General features: G+C 54.8%; 2 protein-coding genes across 7 annotated transcripts in view, besides 10 other annotated features; both read right to left on the minus strand.

Annotated features, from left to right (window-relative positions):
* The window catches only part of CSF1R (colony stimulating factor 1 receptor), a 60,071-nt gene extending 59,125 nt beyond the window's left edge, over positions 1–946 (minus strand). For all 4 annotated transcript variants that reach the window (NR_164679.1, NM_001375321.1, NM_005211.4 and 1 more), the window contains exon 1: positions 842–946. The gene's annotated coding sequence lies outside the window, so the exon portion shown is untranslated. The remainder of the gene's footprint in view (positions 1–841) is intronic.
* Positions 190–939: an enhancer, noted in NCBI's record as "H3K27ac-H3K4me1 hESC enhancer chr5:149492172-149492921 (GRCh37/hg19 assembly coordinates)". NCBI's record gives its function as "activates a minimal SCP1, AML or CMV promoter by ChIP-STARR-seq in naive H9 embryonic stem cells {active_cell/tissue: H9 hESC(naive)}" and the evidence as "EXISTENCE:reporter gene assay evidence [ECO:0000049][PMID:30033119]".
* Positions 190–1,629: a biological region, named in NCBI's record as "CSF1R promoter E1". NCBI's record gives its function as "regulatory_interactions: CSF1R".
* Positions 851–1,629: a promoter, noted in NCBI's record as "0.77kb promoter fragment". NCBI's record gives its function as "drives expression in BeWo chroriocarcinoma, Molt-4 lymphoid leukemia cells" and the evidence as "EXISTENCE:reporter gene assay evidence [ECO:0000049][PMID:1531036]".
* Positions 959–1,006: a protein binding site, noted in NCBI's record as "AP-1/GRE element". NCBI's record gives its function as "mediates induction by dexamethasone" and the evidence as "EXISTENCE:protein binding evidence [ECO:0000024][PMID:11891846]".
* Positions 959–1,006: a protein binding site, noted in NCBI's record as "AP-1/GRE element". NCBI's record gives the evidence for it as "EXISTENCE:protein binding evidence [ECO:0000024][PMID:11891846]".
* The window catches only part of PDGFRB (platelet derived growth factor receptor beta), a 42,007-nt gene continuing 21,653 nt past the window's right edge, over positions 1,420–21,773 (minus strand). For all 3 annotated transcript variants that reach the window (NM_001355016.2, NM_002609.4, NM_001355017.2), the window contains 19 exons: positions 21,462–21,589; positions 21,167–21,341; positions 20,331–20,523; positions 19,560–19,675; positions 18,120–18,243; positions 17,338–17,549; positions 14,101–14,195; positions 13,026–13,158; positions 12,308–12,412; positions 11,831–11,941; positions 10,623–10,782; positions 9,461–9,621; positions 8,785–8,903; positions 8,469–8,591; positions 7,593–7,704; positions 7,048–7,147; positions 6,328–6,433; positions 5,199–5,431; positions 1,420–3,527 (listed from right to left, as the gene is read on the minus strand). In NM_001355016.2, the coding sequence (NP_001341945.1) occupies positions 3,344–3,527; positions 5,199–5,431; positions 6,328–6,433; positions 7,048–7,147; positions 7,593–7,704; positions 8,469–8,591; positions 8,785–8,903; positions 9,461–9,621; positions 10,623–10,782; positions 11,831–11,941; positions 12,308–12,412; positions 13,026–13,158; positions 14,101–14,195; positions 17,338–17,549; positions 18,120–18,243; positions 19,560–19,675; positions 20,331–20,523; positions 21,167–21,341; positions 21,462–21,589 (2,690 nt within the window). In that variant the 3' untranslated portion in view covers positions 1,420–3,343. The remainder of the gene's footprint in view (positions 3,528–5,198; positions 5,432–6,327; positions 6,434–7,047; positions 7,148–7,592; positions 7,705–8,468; positions 8,592–8,784; positions 8,904–9,460; positions 9,622–10,622; positions 10,783–11,830; positions 11,942–12,307; positions 12,413–13,025; positions 13,159–14,100; positions 14,196–17,337; positions 17,550–18,119; positions 18,244–19,559; positions 19,676–20,330; positions 20,524–21,166; positions 21,342–21,461; positions 21,590–21,773) is intronic.
* Positions 5,741–6,328: an enhancer, noted in NCBI's record as "H3K4me1 hESC enhancer chr5:149497723-149498310 (GRCh37/hg19 assembly coordinates)". NCBI's record gives its function as "activates a minimal SCP1, AML or CMV promoter by ChIP-STARR-seq in naive H9 embryonic stem cells {active_cell/tissue: H9 hESC(naive)}" and the evidence as "EXISTENCE:reporter gene assay evidence [ECO:0000049][PMID:30033119]".
* Positions 7,989–8,896: an enhancer, noted in NCBI's record as "H3K27ac-H3K4me1 hESC enhancer chr5:149499971-149500878 (GRCh37/hg19 assembly coordinates)". NCBI's record gives its function as "activates a minimal SCP1, AML or CMV promoter by ChIP-STARR-seq in primed H9 embryonic stem cells {active_cell/tissue: H9 hESC(primed)}" and the evidence as "EXISTENCE:reporter gene assay evidence [ECO:0000049][PMID:30033119]".
* Positions 15,371–15,872: an enhancer, noted in NCBI's record as "H3K4me1 hESC enhancer chr5:149507353-149507854 (GRCh37/hg19 assembly coordinates)". NCBI's record gives its function as "activates a minimal SCP1, AML or CMV promoter by ChIP-STARR-seq in naive H9 embryonic stem cells {active_cell/tissue: H9 hESC(naive)}" and the evidence as "EXISTENCE:reporter gene assay evidence [ECO:0000049][PMID:30033119]".
* Positions 17,509–18,119: an enhancer, noted in NCBI's record as "H3K27ac-H3K4me1 hESC enhancer chr5:149509491-149510101 (GRCh37/hg19 assembly coordinates)". NCBI's record gives its function as "activates a minimal SCP1, AML or CMV promoter by ChIP-STARR-seq in naive H9 embryonic stem cells {active_cell/tissue: H9 hESC(naive)}" and the evidence as "EXISTENCE:reporter gene assay evidence [ECO:0000049][PMID:30033119]".
* Positions 19,792–19,961: an enhancer, noted in NCBI's record as "experimental_82275 CRE fragment used in MPRA reporter constructs". NCBI's record gives its function as "activates a minimal promoter by MPRAs in K562 erythroleukemia cells, with activity observed for both the introgressed and non-introgressed 5:149511859 variant alleles {active_cell/tissue: K562}" and the evidence as "EXISTENCE:reporter gene assay evidence [ECO:0000049][PMID:34662402]".

The following is a 21,773-nucleotide window of genomic DNA, read 5'->3' on the forward strand; positions in this document are numbered from 1 at the left end:
TAGTGTGGCATCTAGCTCCATTTATCCCTGGGGAAACTGAGGCCTGATGTGGTGTAATCCACTCAAGTTCCCATAAGGAGCAGGCCTGAGACACAGGGAGCTGAGATCTTCTGACCTCCAGACAGAGGCTTTTGCACCAGCAAAGATAATCCCTGTCTGGAATGTGGGCTAGTTATTTTCTTTACAAGGCAGATCCGGGTATCACCTCATTCAACTCCTGCCACAGCTAGAAGAGAAGTCACAGGCTCTGGGTGTTTTCTGAAGCCAGGATCCCTGGGATGGTGGGCTTTGTATGGCCAGGCCTTATAGCCGTCGGGTATTTTCCCTGGTGTGGCTCAGCTGCCCCTGAGTTGGCGGCTGGGCCTGTGAGTCAGAGCTGTCCCATGGCTCCATTCTTTTCCCCACTTGAAGCCACAGCCCCAGACTCCTGGAGGCAGTCCAGGGAGGCCTGTGGTTCCAAAATGAGGTCCTTCCCGCACCCACTCAAATGAAGATGCCGTTTCCCCAGCTCAGAGAGAGCAAGGGAGGGGCTAAGGACACACAGTGATGGATCTGAGGCTGACATCTGGTCCACCTCAAGTGAGCCAAGTACAGGACTCTGGGCCCAGGTGGGAGGGCCCTAGCACTCTGTCCCCTGCCCCCAGCAACCCTATTGCCCCTGGCCCTGTGTTGCTGCCGGGGTCCCACAGGCCTGGGCTCGGCAGGAGAGCCTATGACTCATGCCGGCCCCACAACCCCTGAGATGCTGCAGCCGTGAGGGGTCTGGGTCCTGCCAGGTCTACACCTCTCTGCCCTCAAAGCCACAGCCTGGTCGCCACCCTATTCCCTCCCCTGTCCTTACCCTGGCCGCAGTTCCCTCCGCTTCCTCTCTTCCTCTTCCTCTTCCTCTTCTCTCTTCTCCACCTTCTCCTCACTTCGTGCTCTCACGCTTTTGGACACTCTGTCTGCCCTTCTCCTACCTGGGGCCTGATCATGACTCACCTGGACCTGGAATCTGGGCTCTAGCAGCTGCCTGTCACAGAGCACGCCGGCCTCAATCCGGGCCTGTGGGCGGAGTGGAGGGGAGGGTGTCCCAGCTGATAGCCAAAGCCAAAGCACATGGTGGAGGCAGTGAGACGCCTCAGCACCAGAGCCTTGGAGCAGCCCTGCAGCCCCACACCCTCCTGCCCGACTCAAGGCCAGGCTCTGTGGAGCCAGAAAAGCCTGCTCGCTTCCCACCTTGGGAAACCAAGCCCAAGGTCTAGGCCCCCCAGCTTCCAGCGAGGGGTGGGAGAGCGAAAATCCCCACTTTACAGATGAATGAAATGAGACTCAGAGCTGAAGGGACCTGTCTGGGGGTCTGCGTCTGGGTGAGCCTCATGTGCCCCACTCCACACTCCCTATGGGCAGGAACCCAAACCCGAGAGAGACCACAAAGTCTGTGAGTGAGAAGCACCAGGTTTAATATTAAAATCTTTCCCTTAAAAAAAAGTACACAGATAGAAAAACTCAACAGCATACAAAATAGCATTTCTGCTGTATAAATGTGAGTTAACGTGAGTCCTAAAAATATTTGTAAACCTAGGTGATTATATCTTTGGTACCGTATTGAGAACCCACTCTCCCTCCTTGGACCAACTCTGGGGATCCCAGGGAAGTAAGGTGCCAACCTGCAATGCAGGGTTGGTGCCCAGAGGGGTTGAGCTTCCTGCACCCCCTTCCCAACCCTCCCCGTGCGGGGGCGTCTTGGCTACAACCCTGACTCCCCTGGCACCTCCAATGCCCACTGGGCTGGGGACAATGAGATGTCACTGCTAGGTCTGGGCAGTGACAAAACCATACCCCCATGGAGCGCTGCCTCAGGGATGGGGCAGCTGGTGGGTGAGGGGCAAACCTCCAAAGCGCCCACCTCTCACATCCTTCTTGGGGTACCCATCTGAAGCTTCTTGTCTTTTACAAGACATAACTGTCCTCACTGTCCATTCTGTCTTCGACGCAGACCTCGGCACAGGTGCTGGAGTGGTGGGCTGCAGGAGGTGATCTCATTTGCCCTCTTTGTCCCTTTTGCCCAGGATACCCCCGGAGGTCATCGTGGGTAGTGAAAGAGGTCCCGTGGTCTTCCCATGTCCCTGGGGCAGCTGCTGGGGGCTTTCCAGGACACCGGCTGTCACTCTAAGTCAAGGCCTGTGCAGCTGTGTTCTTGAGACTTGCTGGGGGCCTGGGGAAGGGGCATGGTTCCTGAGTCCCCAGAGTGTGATGTGTGATCTGGAATCTCCCAGGAGCCCAGCTGACCCCCAGGATGGAAGTTTAGGGTATATGGCCTTGCTTCATCTGGACAAATGTGCAACCACCTGGAATACTCTAGAATGTTAGTGCTGGCAAGGCACTCAGAGTTAATAAGTCCGACTTATTCATTTTTTGAAGGGGAAACTGAGGCCCAGAGAGGGTGAGGGATTCCTCCAAAGCCTCATAGCAGGTCCAATGCAGAGCCAGGGCCATATACTGGCACACACACGTGGCCACTCCACACTGGCACATTTACATTCTCATCACAGATGCGGGGCCCGTCTGGCCTTCTAGACTCTGGTGGATGGATTAAGACTGAGGGTGATAAAGAAAAAGCCCCAGGACTGATGGGCCTGAAGGACAGGGACACAGGCACTTGCTATGGCTGCGTGTGCTCCAAGTGCCCTGGGCAAGGGCTGCAGGCTGGGGGTGTCCTGTACTTGGCTCAGCCTCCAGCATTAATTAGGCTGCCTAATGGCCCCAGACCAGCTCGGGCCAGGGAACGCAGGGACTGGCATCATAGGGAGGAGACTGGCTTTCTTCTGGATGAGGCAACACTGCTCAAGGCTAGGCCCTAGCTCAGCCAGCAGCCAGGGAGGCTAGGGTCTCTTCCCTAGCTCCTGGGTGGATAAAAGTGCGAGGAGAGAGCTATGATTCCTTGAGGGGTAGCTGGCTGAACAGAAAAAAGTTAATTTACCACCTCAGTAACTCCAAGAATCTTCCCAGGGAGGGATTCGGTCTCCCCACCTGTCAGCCAGGGAGAGAATCCTAGATTCTGGGTCATCAAGCCTAACTTTCCCATTTTACATATGGGAAAACTGAGTTCCCTGGGGGAACCCTGGCTCAGAGTCAGTTGGCCTCCCTGGAGGCAGAGGGCTGGTCACGGCCCCTGCAGTTTTCTTGCCTCCTAAGCCAGCCCCAGGGTTTGGGGCACAACACGTCAGGAGCAGAAAGCTTCCAGAAGGGGACAGCTGATAAGGGCAGCCTGGCTGACAGGAAGCCCGGTCAGGCCAGGCCAGGAGATGCTGGGTGCTGGCAGGGGGGGAGCTTCAGGCAGGGCAGGGTAGGGGCCAGCCCCCTACAGGAAGCTATCCTCTGCTTCCGCCCGAGGCGCAGGGCACCCCGAATCCGGCAACTGTTCCAGCTCTGGCTCCGGCTCCACCTGGAGCTCAAGCTGGGGCTCTGGCTCTGGTTCGTCCTGGGGCTCCAGGGGGCTGTCACAGGAGATGGTTGAGGAGGTGTTGACTTCATTCAGGGTGGAGCTAGAGGAAAGAGGCAGTGAGTGAGGGGCTAGGAAGGAGCCCAGGAGGATTCCAGCAGCAGTCATGAAGAGCCTTCGGTGTGTCCACCCCTGCACCGTAGGCTTCACACACTCCGGCTCATTTAACTCTTGTGAAAACTATGCAAGGCCTGCACCGTGAGGAAAGTGTGGCTCAGAGAGGTTATATCACTGCCCCACTTCACACAGCAGGGAAGTGCAGGAGCTGGAACTTCGGAGCAGGGTCAGCTGGCTCCAAAGCTCGTTTCTCACCCACCAGCATCTCCCTCCTCTGCACTCCTAAAGGTGTATGCTATCTCATTTAATCCTTGCAATGACCGCCTAATAGAAGTACTTTTACTGTTTGTATTTTACAGAAGAAGACACTGGCCGGGCGTGGTGGCTCACATCTGTAATCCCAGCACTTTGGGAGGCCGAGGCAGGCGGATCACCTGAGGTCAGGAGGTTGAGACCAGTCTCAACATGGAGAAACCCCAACTCTACTAAAAATACAAAATTAGCCAGGCGTGGTGCTGCATGCCTGTAATTCCAGCTACTCGGGAGGCTGAGGCAGGAGAATTGCTTGAACCTGGGAGGTGGAGGTTGCAGTGAGCCGAGATCGCGCCATTGCACTCCAGCCTGGGCAACAAGAGCGAAACTCCATCTCAAAAATAAATAAATAAATGAATAAAAATAATAAAAAAAAAAAGAAGAGGACACCAATGTTTAGACAGTGAAGCAGCTTGTCTGAGGGCACAAAACAGGGTGAGCATTCACACCTCAAGCTGTGTGAGCGCTGCACTTCACTCCTCTGCACCATCCACTGGGACTCTTGGATGGTTGGCCTCTTCAACAGTTAGAGCAATGAGGGCCTTCGGAGCCTTCTAAGGCCGGTGTGCACTCCTGGCACATATGGAGAAACTGAGGCTCGCAGAGGAGAAGCCTTCCCAGGTCTCAGCGGCTAGTGGCAGAGTTGGGACAGTACCCCAGCCTGGGGCTCCAGCCACTTCACCTTGGGCTGGATCTCGCTTTGGAGGTGGGCGTGGCCTCATGGGGAGCCCTTCTCTCCAGTTAAGGGGAGATCCTGCGTGGACATCAAGTCCACACAACAGCAGGGTCCTCCTATAAAGCCCCCTCTGGGCTGTAACTTCACCACTTCCCAAGGCAAAAGAAAACCACGAATCTCCTTCCCAGTCTGAATTCTGTCCTGAATTCCTTTAGGCACCTCTGACTCCTACAACCAAGCAGGCTCCCTCTGGCCCCAGGGCGTGGTGCTGAAGAACAGAACATAGGCCTCAGGCTGGCCATGAGTAACAGCTGGGGTGCTGGGGATGCTAAGTAGGTTTGCTTCTTCTTTTTGGGGCTAGGACAGGACCTAGAGATAAGAGAGTATAGATAACCTCTGGGGGCTCCCTTAAAGGAAATAGCTACCTTGCAAGTAAGTCCCAGCCCATACTTTTGTTTTTACTAGCCTGCCCTTTCCACCTCAGGGCATCAAAGTTCAAATGAGTTCCATTCTGTCTTCTATTCATTGGTAGGGATAAGTACTTACCCTACGTAACTTACCTCTGAGGCAAACCTGGCAGCGCGCGCGCGCGCGCGCACACACACACACACACACACACACACACACACACTGTGCACAATTTCCTTGGCCCCAGGCCAGGGTGGTTACCTGGCTAGGCTGGGGGAACCCTCCAGTGGGCCCTCGTCAGCAACCTCGGGTTTGGGGTCAGGCAGGGGGATGATATAGTCGTTGTCACCCTCATTGGGCTGCACGGCAGTATAGAGGACGGAGCTGGTGTCCAGGGGAGATCGGAGGCCATGGAACCCAGGCAAGCGGGCCTGGGACCGAAGGATGGCTGGGTGGTCACTCCTCAGAAACTCCTCATCCACCTGCTGGTACTTCTGCTCCCGGGGCAGGGAGAACCAAAGAAACAGGGATGGTCAGGCCAGAAATGCCTTCAGGGATCTTCTAACCGAGCCCATCCCCCTTTGTATAAATAAGACCCCCGCTGCTCAGAGGGGAAAGGGATTTGCCCAAGCCACATGGTTGAGCTGCCCTCCTACCTCACATAGAATCTTACAAGGCATGGTGAGCTCAGGACCACCCAGGGAGGGGCAGTTATCAGACCAGCACCCAGGACTCTAACTCTTCCCCCACTTCAGAGCAGACAGGCACAGGCTCTCATGCTGCCTCAGCGTCCTTCTTCAGGGCCTCAGTTTCCTTTGCTGTGAAGTGGTGATGACCTTACTCCATCTCCCAGGTCCCTGGGACCATCCCCGGGGGGCAGTGGGGGTGAGAAATGGACCCAAAGAAGGAGCTGCCTCTGTGTCAAAGGCCATGTGTATTTCCTCCTCACTTGGACCCGTGTTGTTGGACGGGGCAGGGTTTCAGGGCCCTACTGGCTCTTTGGGCCTTGGACAATCCTGTGACAGGATCCAAGTGGTCAGGCGGTTCATGGTCATGTAACCTGGGGTTATTCACACTTCTGAAGGAGCCCCACGGTTCGGTATGGAGGTAAAGGCCTGAGGGAGGCAGCAGGACAGACAGTGCTCTAGGCCCCCTCCCTGCATCTAATCGATCAGCTTCCATGTAGGATTCCATTTCATAAAGCTCTCTGCTGCTAAAATAAACTCACAGCGCCAGCCCATCCCCTCCTAGAACCAGCAGGGAAACTGAGGCCCAGAGAGGACAAAGGGTGGTCCCCTAAATGCCAGCCCATCACGCAGAGCCTTGTACTCGGTGTCTGACTTCTGCACCAGAGCTCTCCGTGCTCCACCCCTACCCTGCCTCAACATACCTTTTTGTAACCTTCGCCCAACAGTCTCTCGAGAAGCAGCACCAGCTGGGAGAAGGGGGGCCGAATCTCAAACTTCTCTTCCCAGCACTTCTGCATGATCTCATAGCTGGGGATAGGGAGAAGGGTCAGGGCCTCTGGCCCAGGGTTCAGGGGACAAGGCAGGGCTGGGGGAGCAGGAGGCTGCTGCCTCTCAGAACAAGGTGAGCCATGGAAAGGAGCTGGAGGGAAGTGGTGGCTGGGTGTATCCAGAGGTCCTGTCTCTGGATATTCCCTTGGGAGGCCCTCGCAGAGCCCCCATTCCACATGGTTCCACAGGTTGACTACGCCTGGGTGAGCACAGGAGCCAACCTTCGCCAACAGTTTTCAGCCCTGCAGCTTCCACGGTTGGTTCTTGATGGCATGTGACCCCACCTGAGCCCTTGAAGGTCAGCTCTGGGACTTTTGCTGGCACTATGGAGCAAGCAGTAGGACATGAGACTGGCACTGCTGGTAGCCATTTGGGCAATGCTGGCCTGAAAATGAGGCCACACAGAGCAAAGCAGAGCTCAGGGCTAGAACAAGAGGTTCCTGATGCCATCCTTTGAATGGCTGGATCCAGTTACACCAAGGCTTTCTAGATCTCTGAGCTAACAAATCTCTCATCTTTGGTTTAAGCCAGTAGAGTTGGATATCTATTGTTTGCAGCACAAAATCCTCCCAAATGCATGAGACTCCACTCACATCTCGTCGGAGGCATGGGCAGGCTGGGCCATGCGGTAACCCCGTTTGATGGCATTGTAGAACTGCTCGTTCATGGGCAGCTCTGGGTAAGGGGTGCCACCTGTTGGGGAGCAGAGACAAGAGATACACAGGCTCAGGGGTGGAAAAGTGGCAGGGCACCCTCTTCTACAGGACAAGGAGAGCCATGCTGGCCCTGGTATGGGTAAGGGGGCAGTGCCCCTGGCATTTGGAACTGTGGGCTCCTTCATGGGCTCTGAACAGAGACCACAACCCTCCCCAGGATAGACAGCCAGAATGTGAGAGCCAAGCAGGCTTTCTGATGTCACTGTTCAAACCTGTCAATGCTCAGACAGGGAGATAAAGAGACCCAGAGAGGGCAAAGAATTTGCTAACATCACACAGCAGGGAGAAGGTAGCAGAGCTGGGACCTGAACCAGGATCCCTGTATCAGGGCTCGTCCCATAGCCCCACCAGGCCAGAGGCATGAGTGGTCGAGGTAGACACCAGGCCAGGATGCTGAGGGCTGGAGGAGGAAGCAAGCATACCCAAGGTGAAGATCTCCCAGAGCAGGATCCCGAAGGACCACACGTCGCTCAGGGTGGTGTAGAGGCTGTTGAAGATGCTCTCCGGAGCCATCCACTTTAAAGGCAAAAAGGTCTGTAGGGAGGTCAGGACAGGTGCTGAGTGCAAGGAAGGACCTCAGCCCCACTCTGCACCTGGGATGGGAGGAGGGTATCTGGCAGCTCCCACCCACAACCACTTCTCCGTCCCATTCCCTGTGAGGGCCCTGGTCTCTGCGCAGCACAGTTCCCATGTCCATCCCAGGGCTGGTCAGAGGACCAGAGGCTGTTTCCTTTCTCACTAGCTGGGGACAAGGCAGCCCCTGTCCCTGGGGAAAAGCCCCAGGGTCTGAGTAGTGAAGTGTGGGAGCCAGGGACTTGTCAAGGCACCCCCCAAGCTCTTATCCTGGCTGCCTTTGATCTCTGGGCCTAGCGTCCCTCCATCTGGGGTTTGCGGAAAAGTGGGGAGATGAGAGACAGGCAGGATGATCACGTTTTAACCAGACCAATCCCTGCTACTGCATGTGACCTGCTCATCTTTCTTGCCCTGTCACCTGGGCTTCTTCCTCTGCCCACCACCACTGGAACAACACATTCGGCCTGTTCCCCCTTCCCCCACCCTGGACCCATTATAGCCAGCCCTCCCCGCCGCTATACTTGCTCCATGCACTCCTGGGCGGCTCCCCATCCTGTCCCTGCACACATAGCTGGGCAGGCACAGCCCATCACTGCTGTCAGGGCAGGCCACAAGGAGCCCCACACAGATTTCCTATGAGCTGCAGCCACACTGGTCAGGAGGGAATCTGTTCCTGCGGTCACAGGCACTGTGACTGCCCTGCAGGGGCCAGGGAAGGTACTCACGCTGCCTTTGGAGATGTAATTCGAGTCCCGCATGATGTCTCGAGCCAGGCCAAAGTCACAGATCTTGACCAGCTTGCCTTCACAGATGAGCACGTTCCTAGCCGCCAGGTCTCTGTGGACGCACTGGGTTTGGGGAGAGGGGAGCTGAGGCCTTGGGGACAATTGTGGGGAAAGACCCTTCATGTCAAGGGCTTTGGGAAAATACAACACTGCCCATGTGCGAGAGGCCACCCTGGTGTGCTCTTGGAGGATGCTGGCTGGCTGGGTGACCCACCTCCCCACAGCCCCCACTCTGCCCCACCAACACCACACGTACGTTCTTGGAGGCCAGAAACTCCATGCCATTGGCCACCTGGTAGCTGAAGCCCACGAGGTCCATGTAGCTTAGCACTGGAGACTCGTTGATCAAAGTTGCTCGGCAGGTCCTCTCAGGGGCTAGAGGAGAAGCAGAGGGTCACCTGCTATCTTATATCTCCTTCTGGCCCACAGGACCCCTGCCCTTTGGCTCCTGGGAGACTGAATGTCCAAGACAGGTGGCTACTGATCGTCTAGGTCTCCCCTAAAAGGAGAATGATTTCTTAATATCAAACTCAAAGTTCTCCTGCTTTATCAGTGCCCTCATTGGCCTTTTGGCATTAGCCCTTGGGCCACTTTTGCCCAGCCTGGCCTGCCTGCCTGCCTCTCAGGGACACTAGACCAGCCTGGGGCTGAAGCTGAGTAGATCACTTTCCCTACCACGACAAAAGGCCAGGTCCTCCCATATCCCTGCTCTCTCCCTCCCTGAGGGTTCTACGCATGTTTCCGGATCCATAAACAGGGCTTCCGTTTAGGGGTCCACTACAGATCAGTTTTGGCCAGGTGGCTAGCCTCAATTTCTACATCTATGAAATGGGCACGAGGCTCCCTTCTTCTCAGGGTTTTTGGCAAGGCTGGGCATGTGAAGAGCATCAGCCTGTTTGGATGTGGGGTACTATGTCACTATGTCCACCCACCAGAGGGAACGTAGTTATCGTAAGGGGCCATGTAGTTGGAGGACTCGATGTCTGCATATTTGACGTCTCCTTTCATGTCCAGCATGGGCACATAGTCCACCGACTCGTCCTTGCTCATGTCCATGTAGCCACCGTCGCTCTCCCCGGTCAAGGACACATGGCTGGGGGTAAAGGAGCATCACAGGAGAGCCTGCAGGCTTTGCCTTCCCCTCCCCTCCTGCCCCTTGCCACTCATGAATTTCTTCTCTCACTCACACACTCACTCATCTTCCTTCAGTCTATCCCAGTAGGAAAGCCTGTGGATCAAGACTTTTCAACCAACCTGCTGGGCCAAGCTGGGCACTGAGGCTACCAAAATGACAGTTAGAACCCAGAGAGCTCACACCCAGAGGCGATTACAGCACCCCAGGGCAAAGGTCACAAGACGGGTGTGTTCAGAGGCGCCTTCCTGTGGCCTCCCCAGCGCCACCTGGCCATGGGAGTGCCTGACTGCAACCCAGCATAGGCAGCCAGGATTCACCCCGCTACCTATGCCTGTAGCATCAGCTCCCCAAAGAGCTGTGGGGCTCTACACACATCTGTCTCTATAGGCAGGAAAAAGATGGGAGAAGCCCTTTGGCTCCTGGGAGACTGAATGTCAAAACATTGGAGAGGACATGAGTGGGTTTTAAGGTCTTTTACGCTTTTCTGAAGCTACTCTTGTCTTTGTTTTTGTAATCAGCAACAGAACTAAGAAGTGTTCTTTTTGGAAAAGACAAAGACTGGAGTTGAGCTCCCTGAGAGGCAGTGTGGAGGCTGATGTGTAGAGGCTGCAGAGAGGAACACAGCCTGGAGCACCACTGTGCAAATTGGGAGGCTTGGCTCTCATCTCACCACAGCCTCTGCCCCTTCCTCCATCACTGCCTGCCCTGGACTGAAGGGCAAACACCCACGACACAGGGATGGCATGTCACATCTGTAGAGGGCTTAGCAGCACAGGGCCTGGCATTAGTGTTATTCCCTCATCTGGGGTGGACCATCTTGTGGAACAGCCCTAGCTCCAGGAGTGATTCTGTCCCCTGCCCTGTCACAGCCTCAGCTTCCCCTCCTGGACAAAAGGAGGGGAAGGAGCGGTGCTCCTCAGGTATCCCAAAGATTCAGTCCCTGGCCTCCCTCCTGGTACCTGGGCAGGGGGAGCCCAACGGGCAGAGCATTGCTGTAGAGCTCCGCGCTGGGCGGGCGGCGCTTGTCGGAGTGGTGCTGCAGGAAGGTGTGTTTGTTGCGGTGCAGGTAGTCCACCAGGTCTCCGTAGCGGCAGTACTCAGTGATGATATAGATGGGTCCTGCAGAGGGACAGGCTCAGGGACAGTCCCTATGGAGGCCTCAGGCGTCCCTTCAAGGCCATGAGGCTAATCAGGGGCTGGATGTGGGAGAGACACTTTGGCATGACGGCTAGGAGGCTTTAGTGCCTTGCAAATCTGGATTCTTTTCCTGCCTCTGTGGTGGAGAGCAAGGTACTTAGTCTCCCTGAGCCTTACCTTCCCCAGCTGTTAAGTGGGGCTAATTAAACCCACCACAAAGCACTGTCATGAGGATTAATGAGATGATGTCTTTATTGGCTGGGCACGTGGCGAGCTCGCAGTGTTGGCTCTTATTGATATGTTTTCAAACTAAAGCTTACTTTGGAGCCCAGTATAGAAAGCAGATAAAGGCCACTGTTTACAACGATCACTTTAGTAGTTAAATTCAACTACAATGCATTTACTTAAAGTCAATCAGTGAGAACTTGAAGATATCTACACAAACGAAAATGTTGAAATGAGCGATCATTGCAAACGTGAATAAGTCTATGTACCCAACATACTTCTGTATTTTATTTTGGTTGCATAATGCTGAGGAAAATCCCAAATCTCACAATAAGCAGCTGCAAATGGTGATAACATTTTTTTTCAGCCTAACTGGCAATCAGAGCTTCAAATAGACCCAGTTGGCCACAGAGACTTTCTTCTATGATCAAATGAAGGTAGCTCCCAAGTAGCAAGCTGGTGGTCTCCAATGGTGGGCATATAACTCATCTTAATGTCATGTGAGCTGTTATTTATTGGTTTTCAAAATGTATTGGGAAAATAAAAAAGTGTCAGCCAACACCATGGTCTGGAAGCTGCTGGGACTGGTGACCTGACTAATCCTTCAGCCTTGAAGGTGTTGTGATTTTGTGAGTTTCTAAACCCCACCGCCCTCTGGGACCGCGCAGTGAGGGCGCTGGAGCGGGTGGGCACGGACCCTCCAGCAGGAGTGTGCTGTTGTGCAAGGCCTGAGGGGGGGGTAGGCGGGGCCTGGCCTTGGTGGTGGGCACTTTCCCTGAGGCCTCTGGGGCAGTGGGCTCGGTACCTCCTTTGGTGCAGGCCCCCAACAGGTTGACCACGTTCAGGTGGGGCCCAAGGTGACTCATGATCTTCAGCTCCGACATAAGGGCTTGCTTCTCACTGCTGCGGGCTGTGGCTGAGGAAAATGGGGGCCCCAGGCCAGGCCCAGTCATGGAGGCTCCATGGAGGCCCCACCACAGGAGCCTATTCTGACTCTTCTGCCCCGCCCTGTGCTGCAAGACCCAGGCAGCCTGGCGGGGGTGAGCACCCACACTCTGAGGAGGGGAAGAGGCCAGGGTAGGGGGAAGCAGGCCGAGGAGGCCAGGGAGAGGAACGCTCTTTCCCAAACCAGACCCAGACTCGGGAGCAGTGCCTGCTGCAGTGTGATGGCCCCTCTAGTGCCTGCAAATCAGCATCAGGCCACCCTGGGAGAGGCTAAGTGTGTGGGGAGGGGCAGGGAGAGGTGAAGGCCCAGATGTGGAGGGCTCCAAGGACTACTCACATTTAAGCATCTTGACGGCCACTTTCATCGTGGCCTGAGAATGGCTCAGGCCATGAGCCGTGGCCTCCACCACCTGCCCAAAGGCCCCAGAGCCGAGGGTGCGTCCTGGTGCAGAGATGATCCATTAGCTCCTGGCCTACCAGGAAGCTGCACCGCTCCCCCAGCTGCCCCCCTCCCCCCACTCCCCTACCCCCGGCCGCTATCACCCTTCCTGCCCAGTGAGGGGAAAGAGCCACTCTCTTAGGTCAACCTAGACATTACTTAAACCACCTTGGACTCAGGATATTCCCTAAACACACTCCTGCAACCACAATACCTCCCTGTCTTTCCTGGTATCTCATCTAAGTCCTGCCTGCTTTCTGCCCCATCTTTAATCTCTGGAAAGTTTCTTCCCTCCCAAGGGAGCACGCTTCTCTGTACCTCCTCAGCTTCCCCAGCCAGACCAGGCCTGCTACTCAGCCTGTCCTCAATCCTTCCACTTTTGCCACATAGGGATCCCGTCTCACAGGGTCACAGGATCATAGAACCTCAATGCTAGGCAGTTCCTGGGGGATGGTCTTGCTCTCATTGTACATAGTAGGAGATGGAGGGCCAGAGAAGGCAAGACACCAGCCCTAGGTCTCATAGCTAGTCATGGCAAGGCTGGGACCAGACCTCAGAGAGTCTTCCCACCCAACTTGAGTCCCCACACTGCCACATGAGGCCTCTCAGGACTGACCCAGCACAAGCTGGTCCCGCGGCAGCTCCCACGTGGAGTCATAGGGCAGCTGCATGGGGTCCACGTAGATGTACTCATGGCCGTCAGAGCTCACAGACTCAATCACCTTCCATCGGATCTCGTAACGTGGCTTCTGGAGGACCAACCCCAGGAATTAGTTATCAGAGGGAGTCTCAGGCCCTGAGCCCCATTAGGTTCGTCCGTCTAGGACACATGGGGCAGGAGACCCTGAGGCCCAGAGAGGGGCAGGGGCATATTTGAAGTCACACAGCAAGTGCTCAACTGAGCCAAGGTCTTCGTGGGCTCGGAGGGAACAGGGACCAAGGGGCCCCAGAGGAGGCTTCAGGACTTGGCAGACTGAGGAGCAACTGGCAGCTGAGGGCCTGGCTCATGAGAACCTCCTCTCTAGCTTCTCTCCCAGCCTTCGCTGCTCCTCAGATGGAAGTAGTAGAGCAGGTGACCCCAGAAAGTGACACCAGGTAGGGTACTCGGCTGGATGCGGATGGCCCTCCCCAGTGCTGGGCAAGTCAGAAAGATGTAAGCTTAGAATGTTGACATCTTAAGGTGTTGGAACCACAGGACTGGAATTTTAGAAAGATGGGATCATGAGGTGCTGTAATCCTGATTCAGGAAGCTTAAAATGTTGGAATCACAGAATGGTAAAATCTCAAAGCAGAACACTGAAATTACAGACTAATAGGATCAGAATGCATTTCAGTAGAATCACAGGTTCTCCATGGGTGAGACCTGGAAGAATCCTGGAGCCCATGCAGTCCACCTCAAAGGTCCCATGCTCCATGGCTAGGATGAGAGGAATGGTGTCTCAGCAGGACCCGGGGACTTAATGACACAGTAGGGGAAGGGAATCCTGGATAGCTCGGGCCAGGCTCAGGTTGGCCCAGACTGCTGGGGGTGGAGGAAGCTGAGACAGCCAGCGTCACAAGTCCCCACCTGAGTTCCATGCTGAGCCCTGCATGTGGCCAGATCACGCAGCATTCAAGGAGGGCAGAGGGGTGGAATTTATGCAAAATAATGATGTGCCAGTCTTCACCCACTGGGCCAGGGAGGGGCTTACCTTCTGCCAAAGCATGATGAGGATGATAAGGGAGATGATGGTGAGCACCACCAGGGCCAGGATGGCTGAGATCACCACCACCTTAAAGGGCAAGGCTGGAGGCAGAGATGAGAGCAGGCCATGAGCAAACTGGGCAGCTACCCTCCCCTCACCCCATCTTTGGCATCATAGATCCCTCCGTACACATCCTGTCCAGAATAGAAGCGCCCACCTCCCCATCAGCCTGCAGTGTCAGACCCTCAGCATCTCGCTCTAGGCCACACGTTCAGACTGTCCTGTAAATACTCCATCCCCTCAGTAACTACCCCCACTCAGATCACTGCTGGCCTCCACGTCCCTTCAGCCCTGCCAGTCAGTCTGGCCTTGCTGCCAGAGCTCTGGACGGGGTGCAAATCCTGTTCTGAGTTCCTGTCCATTGCCTGGACCTCCCATTAGCCCTGGAGCCCCTGAGGGCTGGGTTGTGGCTTACCTCTCCTCTGAGTCCACACCCTTGCTGGGGCTGCCACAGCTCGGTCAGACTCCAAGCTCCATGCCTGACCGAGTGGCCGGTGGACTGAGTGAGTGGCCACTGAGGGAGCAATGGCTGAGACCCCCAGCCTGATGAATCCAGACCTCAGCACGGAGGCCACTTCTCCCCACTTCACCCAAAGGGCCCAGTTGGGGTTGGAGTGGTGACGGTAGTTAACAAAGTGGGGCTCACACTGGCCCTTACAAGCCTCGAGTCTCCTCCACCCTCAAGGCCTCAGCCTCTTCGCTGTACAGCTTCCCACTCTCCTCATCCAGCCCCGCCAGACCTGCCTCTCCCCTGCCCTGCCCTGCTGGCCACCCATGAGGTCCTATGGAACTCATTCCCTCCTCTTCTGTCCCCAATCTATGCTTCTTTGCTCCCTAGGGAGTCCTGTCCCACCTCCTCCTCCCCATCCATTGCTATAACCTCAGTCCCTAAAACCACACCTGGCACATGGTAGGTAGCTGGTACTATTTGTTGAATTACTAAGTGAATGCCATTGTTATGCTTAAAATCTTTGGATGGAGGCTGGGTGCAGTGGCTCATGCCTGTAATCCCAGCACTTTGGGAGGCCAAGGTGGGCGGATCACGAGGTCAGGAGTTCAAGACCGGCCTGGCCAATATGGTGAAATCCCATTTCTACTAAAAATACAAAAAATAGCTGGGCGTGGTGGTGGACTGCTGTCATCCCAGCTATTTGGGAGGCTGAGGCAGGAGAATTGTTTGAACCCGGGAGGCAGAGCTTGCAGTGAGCCGAGATCACACCACTGCACTCCAGCCTGGGCAACAGAGCCAGACTCCATCTTAAAAAAAAAAAAAAAAAAAAAAAAAACTTTGGATGCTTCCCCATGTTATCAGTAAAGGAAAAAGGCCAAACTCCTAAAATGGCACATAAGGCAGAGGCTTCATGACTCTACCTCTGCTTCCCTCTCCAACTTCGTCTCTCACCCCTTATCCATTCTCCCTTACCCTTACCTATCCTCGCCATGCCTTCCTCCTCAGGGTCCCAGACCAACATCCCTCTTCTCCTCCCTCCTCCCGCTCATCACACATCTCGGTCCTGGGAAGGAAGCCTGCATCTTCTAGGCAGCCATCGCTGGAGGCATGAAGGAGCCCTCTTGCAGCCATCCTAGGCCCTGTGTGCTGGTGCTCAGCTTCCCGCTCAGGCTTTAGTCACACAAAAGTGTCACATCTGCCTTGGCTCAGAGCTGGTCTTCCACTCAGGCTGTCCACACTGTCTGCCCAGATACCCACTTGCTCAGAGAATGTGTATGCATGTGTGGGAGCATGGGTGAAATGAGGGGATGAAAGAAGCCCACCCATCCACCACAGGGCAGGGGACAGGAGGCAGCTCTAGACAGGCACGTGCCTGAACATGCCCAGGGACCTGCATACACAGAGACCAAGATGCCTCACATGGCCTTTGGAGCCCTGCCTGCTCTAGATCTGCCGACCCCTGTAGCTCCATCCCATAGCACTTCCTTCCCCTTTATCTGCCACCCTTCCAGCCCCTAAGTATCCACACACTCGATCCTCCAGCCAGATTGAGTTGAACTCTTTTCATTTCTAGGAACTCATTTTGCCTCTGGGCTTTTACACAGGCCATTCCCTCTGAGTGGGACACCATTCCTTACCAGGCTAACTTCTAGTCATTTTTCAGGTTTTCACCTAAAGGTTCCTTTTCTAGAATACTTTCCTGAATCCCATAGCTGGGCATGGGACCCCTTCTCCCTCCAGGCTTTGCCCCTAATGTGGTGATCCCGGAGGGAATTGCCAAGTTCCTTGTCTGCCTTCTCTCTCTGGACTATGGGTACTAGGAGGTCCAGGCAGGGCTGAGCCCTTTGACCTTTATACTTCAATGAGAAGTTGGGTCCTCATATTTATCGAATGAAGAAGAAAGGTGAATAAATGAAGCACACTCATACAGGTGCATGTATGCATAAGGACGGGCAGCTAGATACACAAAAGCATCAAGACACTGGTAGGCATTGTTCATACGCACAGAAATTACACGTGTATGTGTACCTGCTAACAGATGTACATTGTACAGCAGGCACATGTGTACGGGAATTATGCTTGTACACTTTTCTAGAAAGGTGTGCTCCAATTATATGCTTACAGACATGCACTATGCCAGTTTGCATGCATGCAAAGGAATTGTACATGCATTGCTTGTACACATGTACAGGAATTGTGTACCCACCGGTACATGCATACAGACATACACTGTGGGGTTTAAACAGATGTCTGGGAATTAGGCATGCTCATGTACATGGCTTACAAACACGTGGTGGGTTTACATACATGGACAGGCATAGTGCACAGGTGTATGCTTATACACATACACTCTAGCTTTACAGGAGTGACTGGAGATTGGGCATTCTTCAGTAGACGATTTACATATCTACACACAGAGGATTTGCACCTATGTTCAAGGAACAGGCATGCTCATGTACATGGCTTACGACATACATATAGTATATGTACACCACACTGAAGGATATTCATATCCATGGCTTACAGACTTGTGTTTGTACACGTGTGTACCCATATTGTGTTTGCCAGAATGTGTTCCTATGCATGTACACAACAGGGTTTCACAATGCTCCTGTTTGCCCCTGGGCATGCTAACTCCTTTGGCCTGCTGTGGGTACATGGGCACATTACCAATTAGGCAGGATTAAGGTAGGGATTGGGATCGTCAGGGGCCACTGAGGCTGGGGACTCACAGTGTGGCACCACGATGACCTCCTGCGTGTCCTGGCCCACAGCGTTGCGCAGCGTGCAGCGCACCGACAGTGGCCGATCCACGTGCTGCAGACGCAGTGTGCTCACCACCTCAAACTCCTGCTCCTCCTCCCAGTACGTCACGTTAGTCTCCAGCTGGCTCTCCTCTTCGGAACTGTTCCCCAGCAGCGTGGGCGGCAGCTCACGTGGACACCTGCCAGGAGAGCCGGTAGGGTTGGCTGCCAGCCCCTTCCCCTTGCAGACAGGGAAACTGAGGAGAAACTGGTGGAAGGAGGCAGGACGTGTCCAGTTCCTATGTCCCACTGCCTGTTTCCGAGCGGGCTCCTCCTGTGCTCCCTCTACTGGTCAGCAGGGGGTGCTCCCATCCCAGAACTGACAACGTGGATTGCAAAATCCATTCTTATTTGACCCACGGGGTCACACGGCGTATGGGGTAGAGGCAGAACCTGCACTGAATCCTGCCTCTGTCCACTGCATTAGAATCGACCTGGCCAGGAGTGCAGAACTGATCTACAGGGCGGGTGAGGTCTCTGGGGCTCAGACCCTGCACTTTGCTAGGCCAAACTGCCCAGGGGTAAAGGTAAGGAAAAGGGACCATTTAGGTCATACAGAGTAGGACCAAGGAGGTGGTGACCTGGCCTCCTAGGATGCAACTCTATGCCCGGAACAATATGCCAAGAAGAACGGGCGGGACTAGATAACCTTCACGAGCTTTTTCTAGCCAGCTGGGGACACTGGGAGACTGAGGCCCAGGTCTGCTCACCTTTTGAGGTCTCTGCAGGCAGACCAGATGATGTTCGGCTGGGGCATGCCCCGGCCACGACAGCGGACTGTCTGTTCCCCACTGTCAGGGTGGCTCTCACTTAGCTCCAGCACTCGGACAGGGACTGCATGGAGAGAGCACTGAGTTAGGAGGCGGGAGGGTCAGGACAGTTAACAGGACAGGTCCTCAGGGGAGGACCTGGCCCAGAGACTCTCTTGGGGGAGGAGGGCTGTAGACTGCAGGTGAACATTAAATACCAGGAATCAGTGTGAAAACCGATGGGTTCCCTTCTGGGTACTTCAAAGGGAACGCCTCAGCAGGGTGCTAGTCTGTCTTTAACACCTCTCTGAGACTTGCTAATCTTCCCTTTTAACAAAGGGAGGCTAGGCCTCAAGCTCAGAACCCTGGGCCACCAAGCTCATGAAGCCAGCATTTAATAGCATTGTTTGGTCTTCTCTGAGTTTATTTTAGTGGTTGCTTTATATTTATGACATGTGATGCCGATTTTCCACCTACAATAGAGAGGTTACATTTTGTCTTTCAAAATAAATTTGTTTTTAGAAAGTCAATTAACAAAACATTAAGTCATTATCATGTCATTTCTCTGCTCAAAACCCTGCCATGGCTCTTCATTTCGGTCATAGTAAAAGCCAAAGTCTGCACCAGGCCCACAAAGACCTATGCGATTTGCCCTTCTCCCAGCCCCCACTGCCCTATCCCCGTTCTGACTTCATCTCCCACCACTCTCCCCAACAGCCCTGTTCCAACCACACAAGCCTTTCAGTGATTGCTCTGGCCTTTGCACTGCCCGAGGTACCCTTTCCCCAAATATCCACTAAGCTAATGTCCTCACCTTCTTCAGGTCTTCATGCAAATGTCACTTCCTCAGCCCTGATCACTGTATCAAAAATGCAACTCACACCATCACTCTGTGCCCAGCACTCTCAACCTTCCCTACCCGGCCCCTGTTTTTCCTCTCCCGCAGTGTTAGTTACCTTCTAACCTATGTAATTTGCTGGGGTTTTCCTCCCTACTGTTAGTGTTTGTCTTCCCCTACTTGGATGCAAGCTGCACAAAGGCAGGGAGGGAAGTTCAAGAACCTTGAAGAGACAGGCATATGGTAGTTGCTCAATAAATACCTATCGAGTTAATAGTACAGTATAAGTGGAATGTGAGAAGGGAAAATCATGGCCTTGGTACCTAAGTGCCTGAAGTTTTGGAAACACCAATCTAGCCAGATGGCCTCCTTATACAGCTGGGGAAACTGAGGCCCAGAGGCCAGGTTCACACGGCAGTGGGTCAGTGGCCTAGAATCCATCTCCTGAGTTCCAGGCTCCCTCTCCCACTCCTCCCATGGGTGGGTGGACAGTGCAGGAAGGGAGAGGGAACGGGGGCAGGGAGGGGAAGGAGCAGGGACATGGCGAGGGGCGTGCTCATCACCATTGATCTGTAGCTGGAAGGAGAGCTGGACCTCAGCATCCTCATGGAAGGCCCGCATGGTGTAGTGGCCAGCCTCTGCCACCTTCACGCGAACCAGTGTCAGCTCTGACACATACCTGGGGAGCAGGAAAGGCAGCTGTCAGAGTCGGAAGGACTCTTACAGTTCTCCCCACCCTCCTGGTATAAAGAGGAACAAGGCCCAGGGAGGGGAAGGGCTTGCCAAGGTCATCTCGGCATTGGTAGCAGAGCCGGGACTCAAACCAGGTCTCGTAAATCCTCACCCACAGGCAGTTCCCCTAGGCCAAGAGGGAGGGTTGAGATGAACTGTGGGTGGGGGTGGGGAGCATTGAAGGAAAGTCCTATTTCTCTCCCCTTCAGAAAGGTGGACACTGCTCCATCCTAACCTACCACAGTCTCTGTCAGCCAGCAAATCTCCAGCCTCAGGGATACCACAGGCCATGAGTGGCCTGCCTGGCACCCTCTTCCCCAGTCATCTGCCCGTTTACTTCTTGGCTGCTACTGCTGGCCCCACCCATCACAAGGACAACTAAACATCTGGGTGATCATCTGACCGGCGACTGTTTCCTCCACTAGACTAGAAACTCTAGGAGGGATGAACTGTCAGCTCTGGTCGCTGCAGCATCCCCAGCACCTGGCACCTAATATGCTCTCAGAAAGCTGGGCCTAGGTTTGTGGCTGAAAGCCGAGGGCTGCCTGGCGGCTGCAAAGAAAAATAACTTCAAGAATGGGATGGGAGAGCGAGCTGCTCACCGGGTCTCCGACACGTTGCGCGTGGACAGGGCGATTTCGCCAGCGCTGGAGTCGCCCAGGGTGCGGTTGTCTTTGAACCACAGGACAGTGGGCGGTGGGTAGGCCTCGAACACTACCTGCAGTGTCCGGCTCCGATGCAGCTCAGCAAATTGTAGTGTGCCCACCTCTCCCAGGAGCCGCACGTAGCCGCTCTCTGCAAGGGGTGACCGTCAGGGGCGGGGCCCTGGGGGCAGGGCACCAACTGAATCCCAAAGGAGGCCAGCCTGTGGGGTGGGGCTTCAGGCCTGGGGACCGTGCCAGCCATGGAGTTTCCGGAGCTGAGGTTGAAATTGGGCTGGGGACAGGGCCTGGAGAAGGGGCCGAATTTGGGGCTAATATGGATGCTGGGGCCAGCTCCCAGGTTGGGAACAGAGTTGTACTAACAGTTCTCTGTTCTGGGTCAGTACTGTGGCTGATGCTGGGACTAGTGATAAGGTTGAATTTGGGGATGGGGCTTCCCGGACCTGGGATGGCAGTTGGGCTTGGAAGTCAGGTTGGGGCTGGGGCTCTGGCTAGTCAGAAAGTCTAGGTTGAGATAGGGTTGGATTTGGGGCTGACACTACATTTTGGTTTGGGGTTTATCCTGGAATTGGGGTTTTGGTTGGCACAGAGGCTAGCTAGGGCTGCACTGGAGTGTGGCTGACTATACCCCGGGGCTGTGACAGGCACTGGGTCCAGCTCAGCCCTGATCACTGTATCAAAAATGCAACTCTCACCATCACTCTGCACCCAGCAAAGTGGGTGAGGGTGGGGAGCGTTGAAGGAATTGGGGATTGGGCTGAGCCCAAGGCACACACCAACCACGGTGATGTTGATGGCCTTTTCATCCTGATGGTCATTCACACTCTCCGTCACATTGCAGGTGTAGGTCCCCGAGTCTTCTAACTCGGCACTGGGGATGTGCAGGATGGAGCGGATGTGGTAAGGCATATCCAAGAGGAAGTCAGTCACCGGCTCCACCAGCCGCCCACTCTGCAGCAACAGGTTGGGCAGGCCCCCCAAATCAGGAGGGGCCGGGGAGAAATCAGCCTGCAAGCCAGATATCCACCCGTTCCTGGCCCCTCCTCCGACCCCTGCCTGGCCCCACATTACTTCTTTGCGGGGGTATGTCCACTCGAAGTTGACCACCTCATTCCCGATCACAATGCACATGAGGGTGATGTTCTCACCCTGGCGGACCACAGTCTGCACTGCGTTCACAGAGACGTTGATGGATGACACTGGTAGAGAGAGATTGGCTTAGGTCTGGGGAAGTCACCACCAGCCACTAGCACTTCAGCTTGGGGATAGGGTAGGGGGCTAGAGAGGGAAAGGATGACTGATGTAGAAGATTCATTCATTCAACAAATATTTACTGAATACCTACTACATGCCAAGTACTATTCTGGACACTGGAGCAACAGT

Source organism: Homo sapiens, chromosome 5, assembly GCF_000001405.40.
Source record: "Homo sapiens chromosome 5, GRCh38.p14 Primary Assembly".
Taxonomy (NCBI): domain Eukaryota; kingdom Metazoa; phylum Chordata; class Mammalia; order Primates; family Hominidae; genus Homo; species Homo sapiens.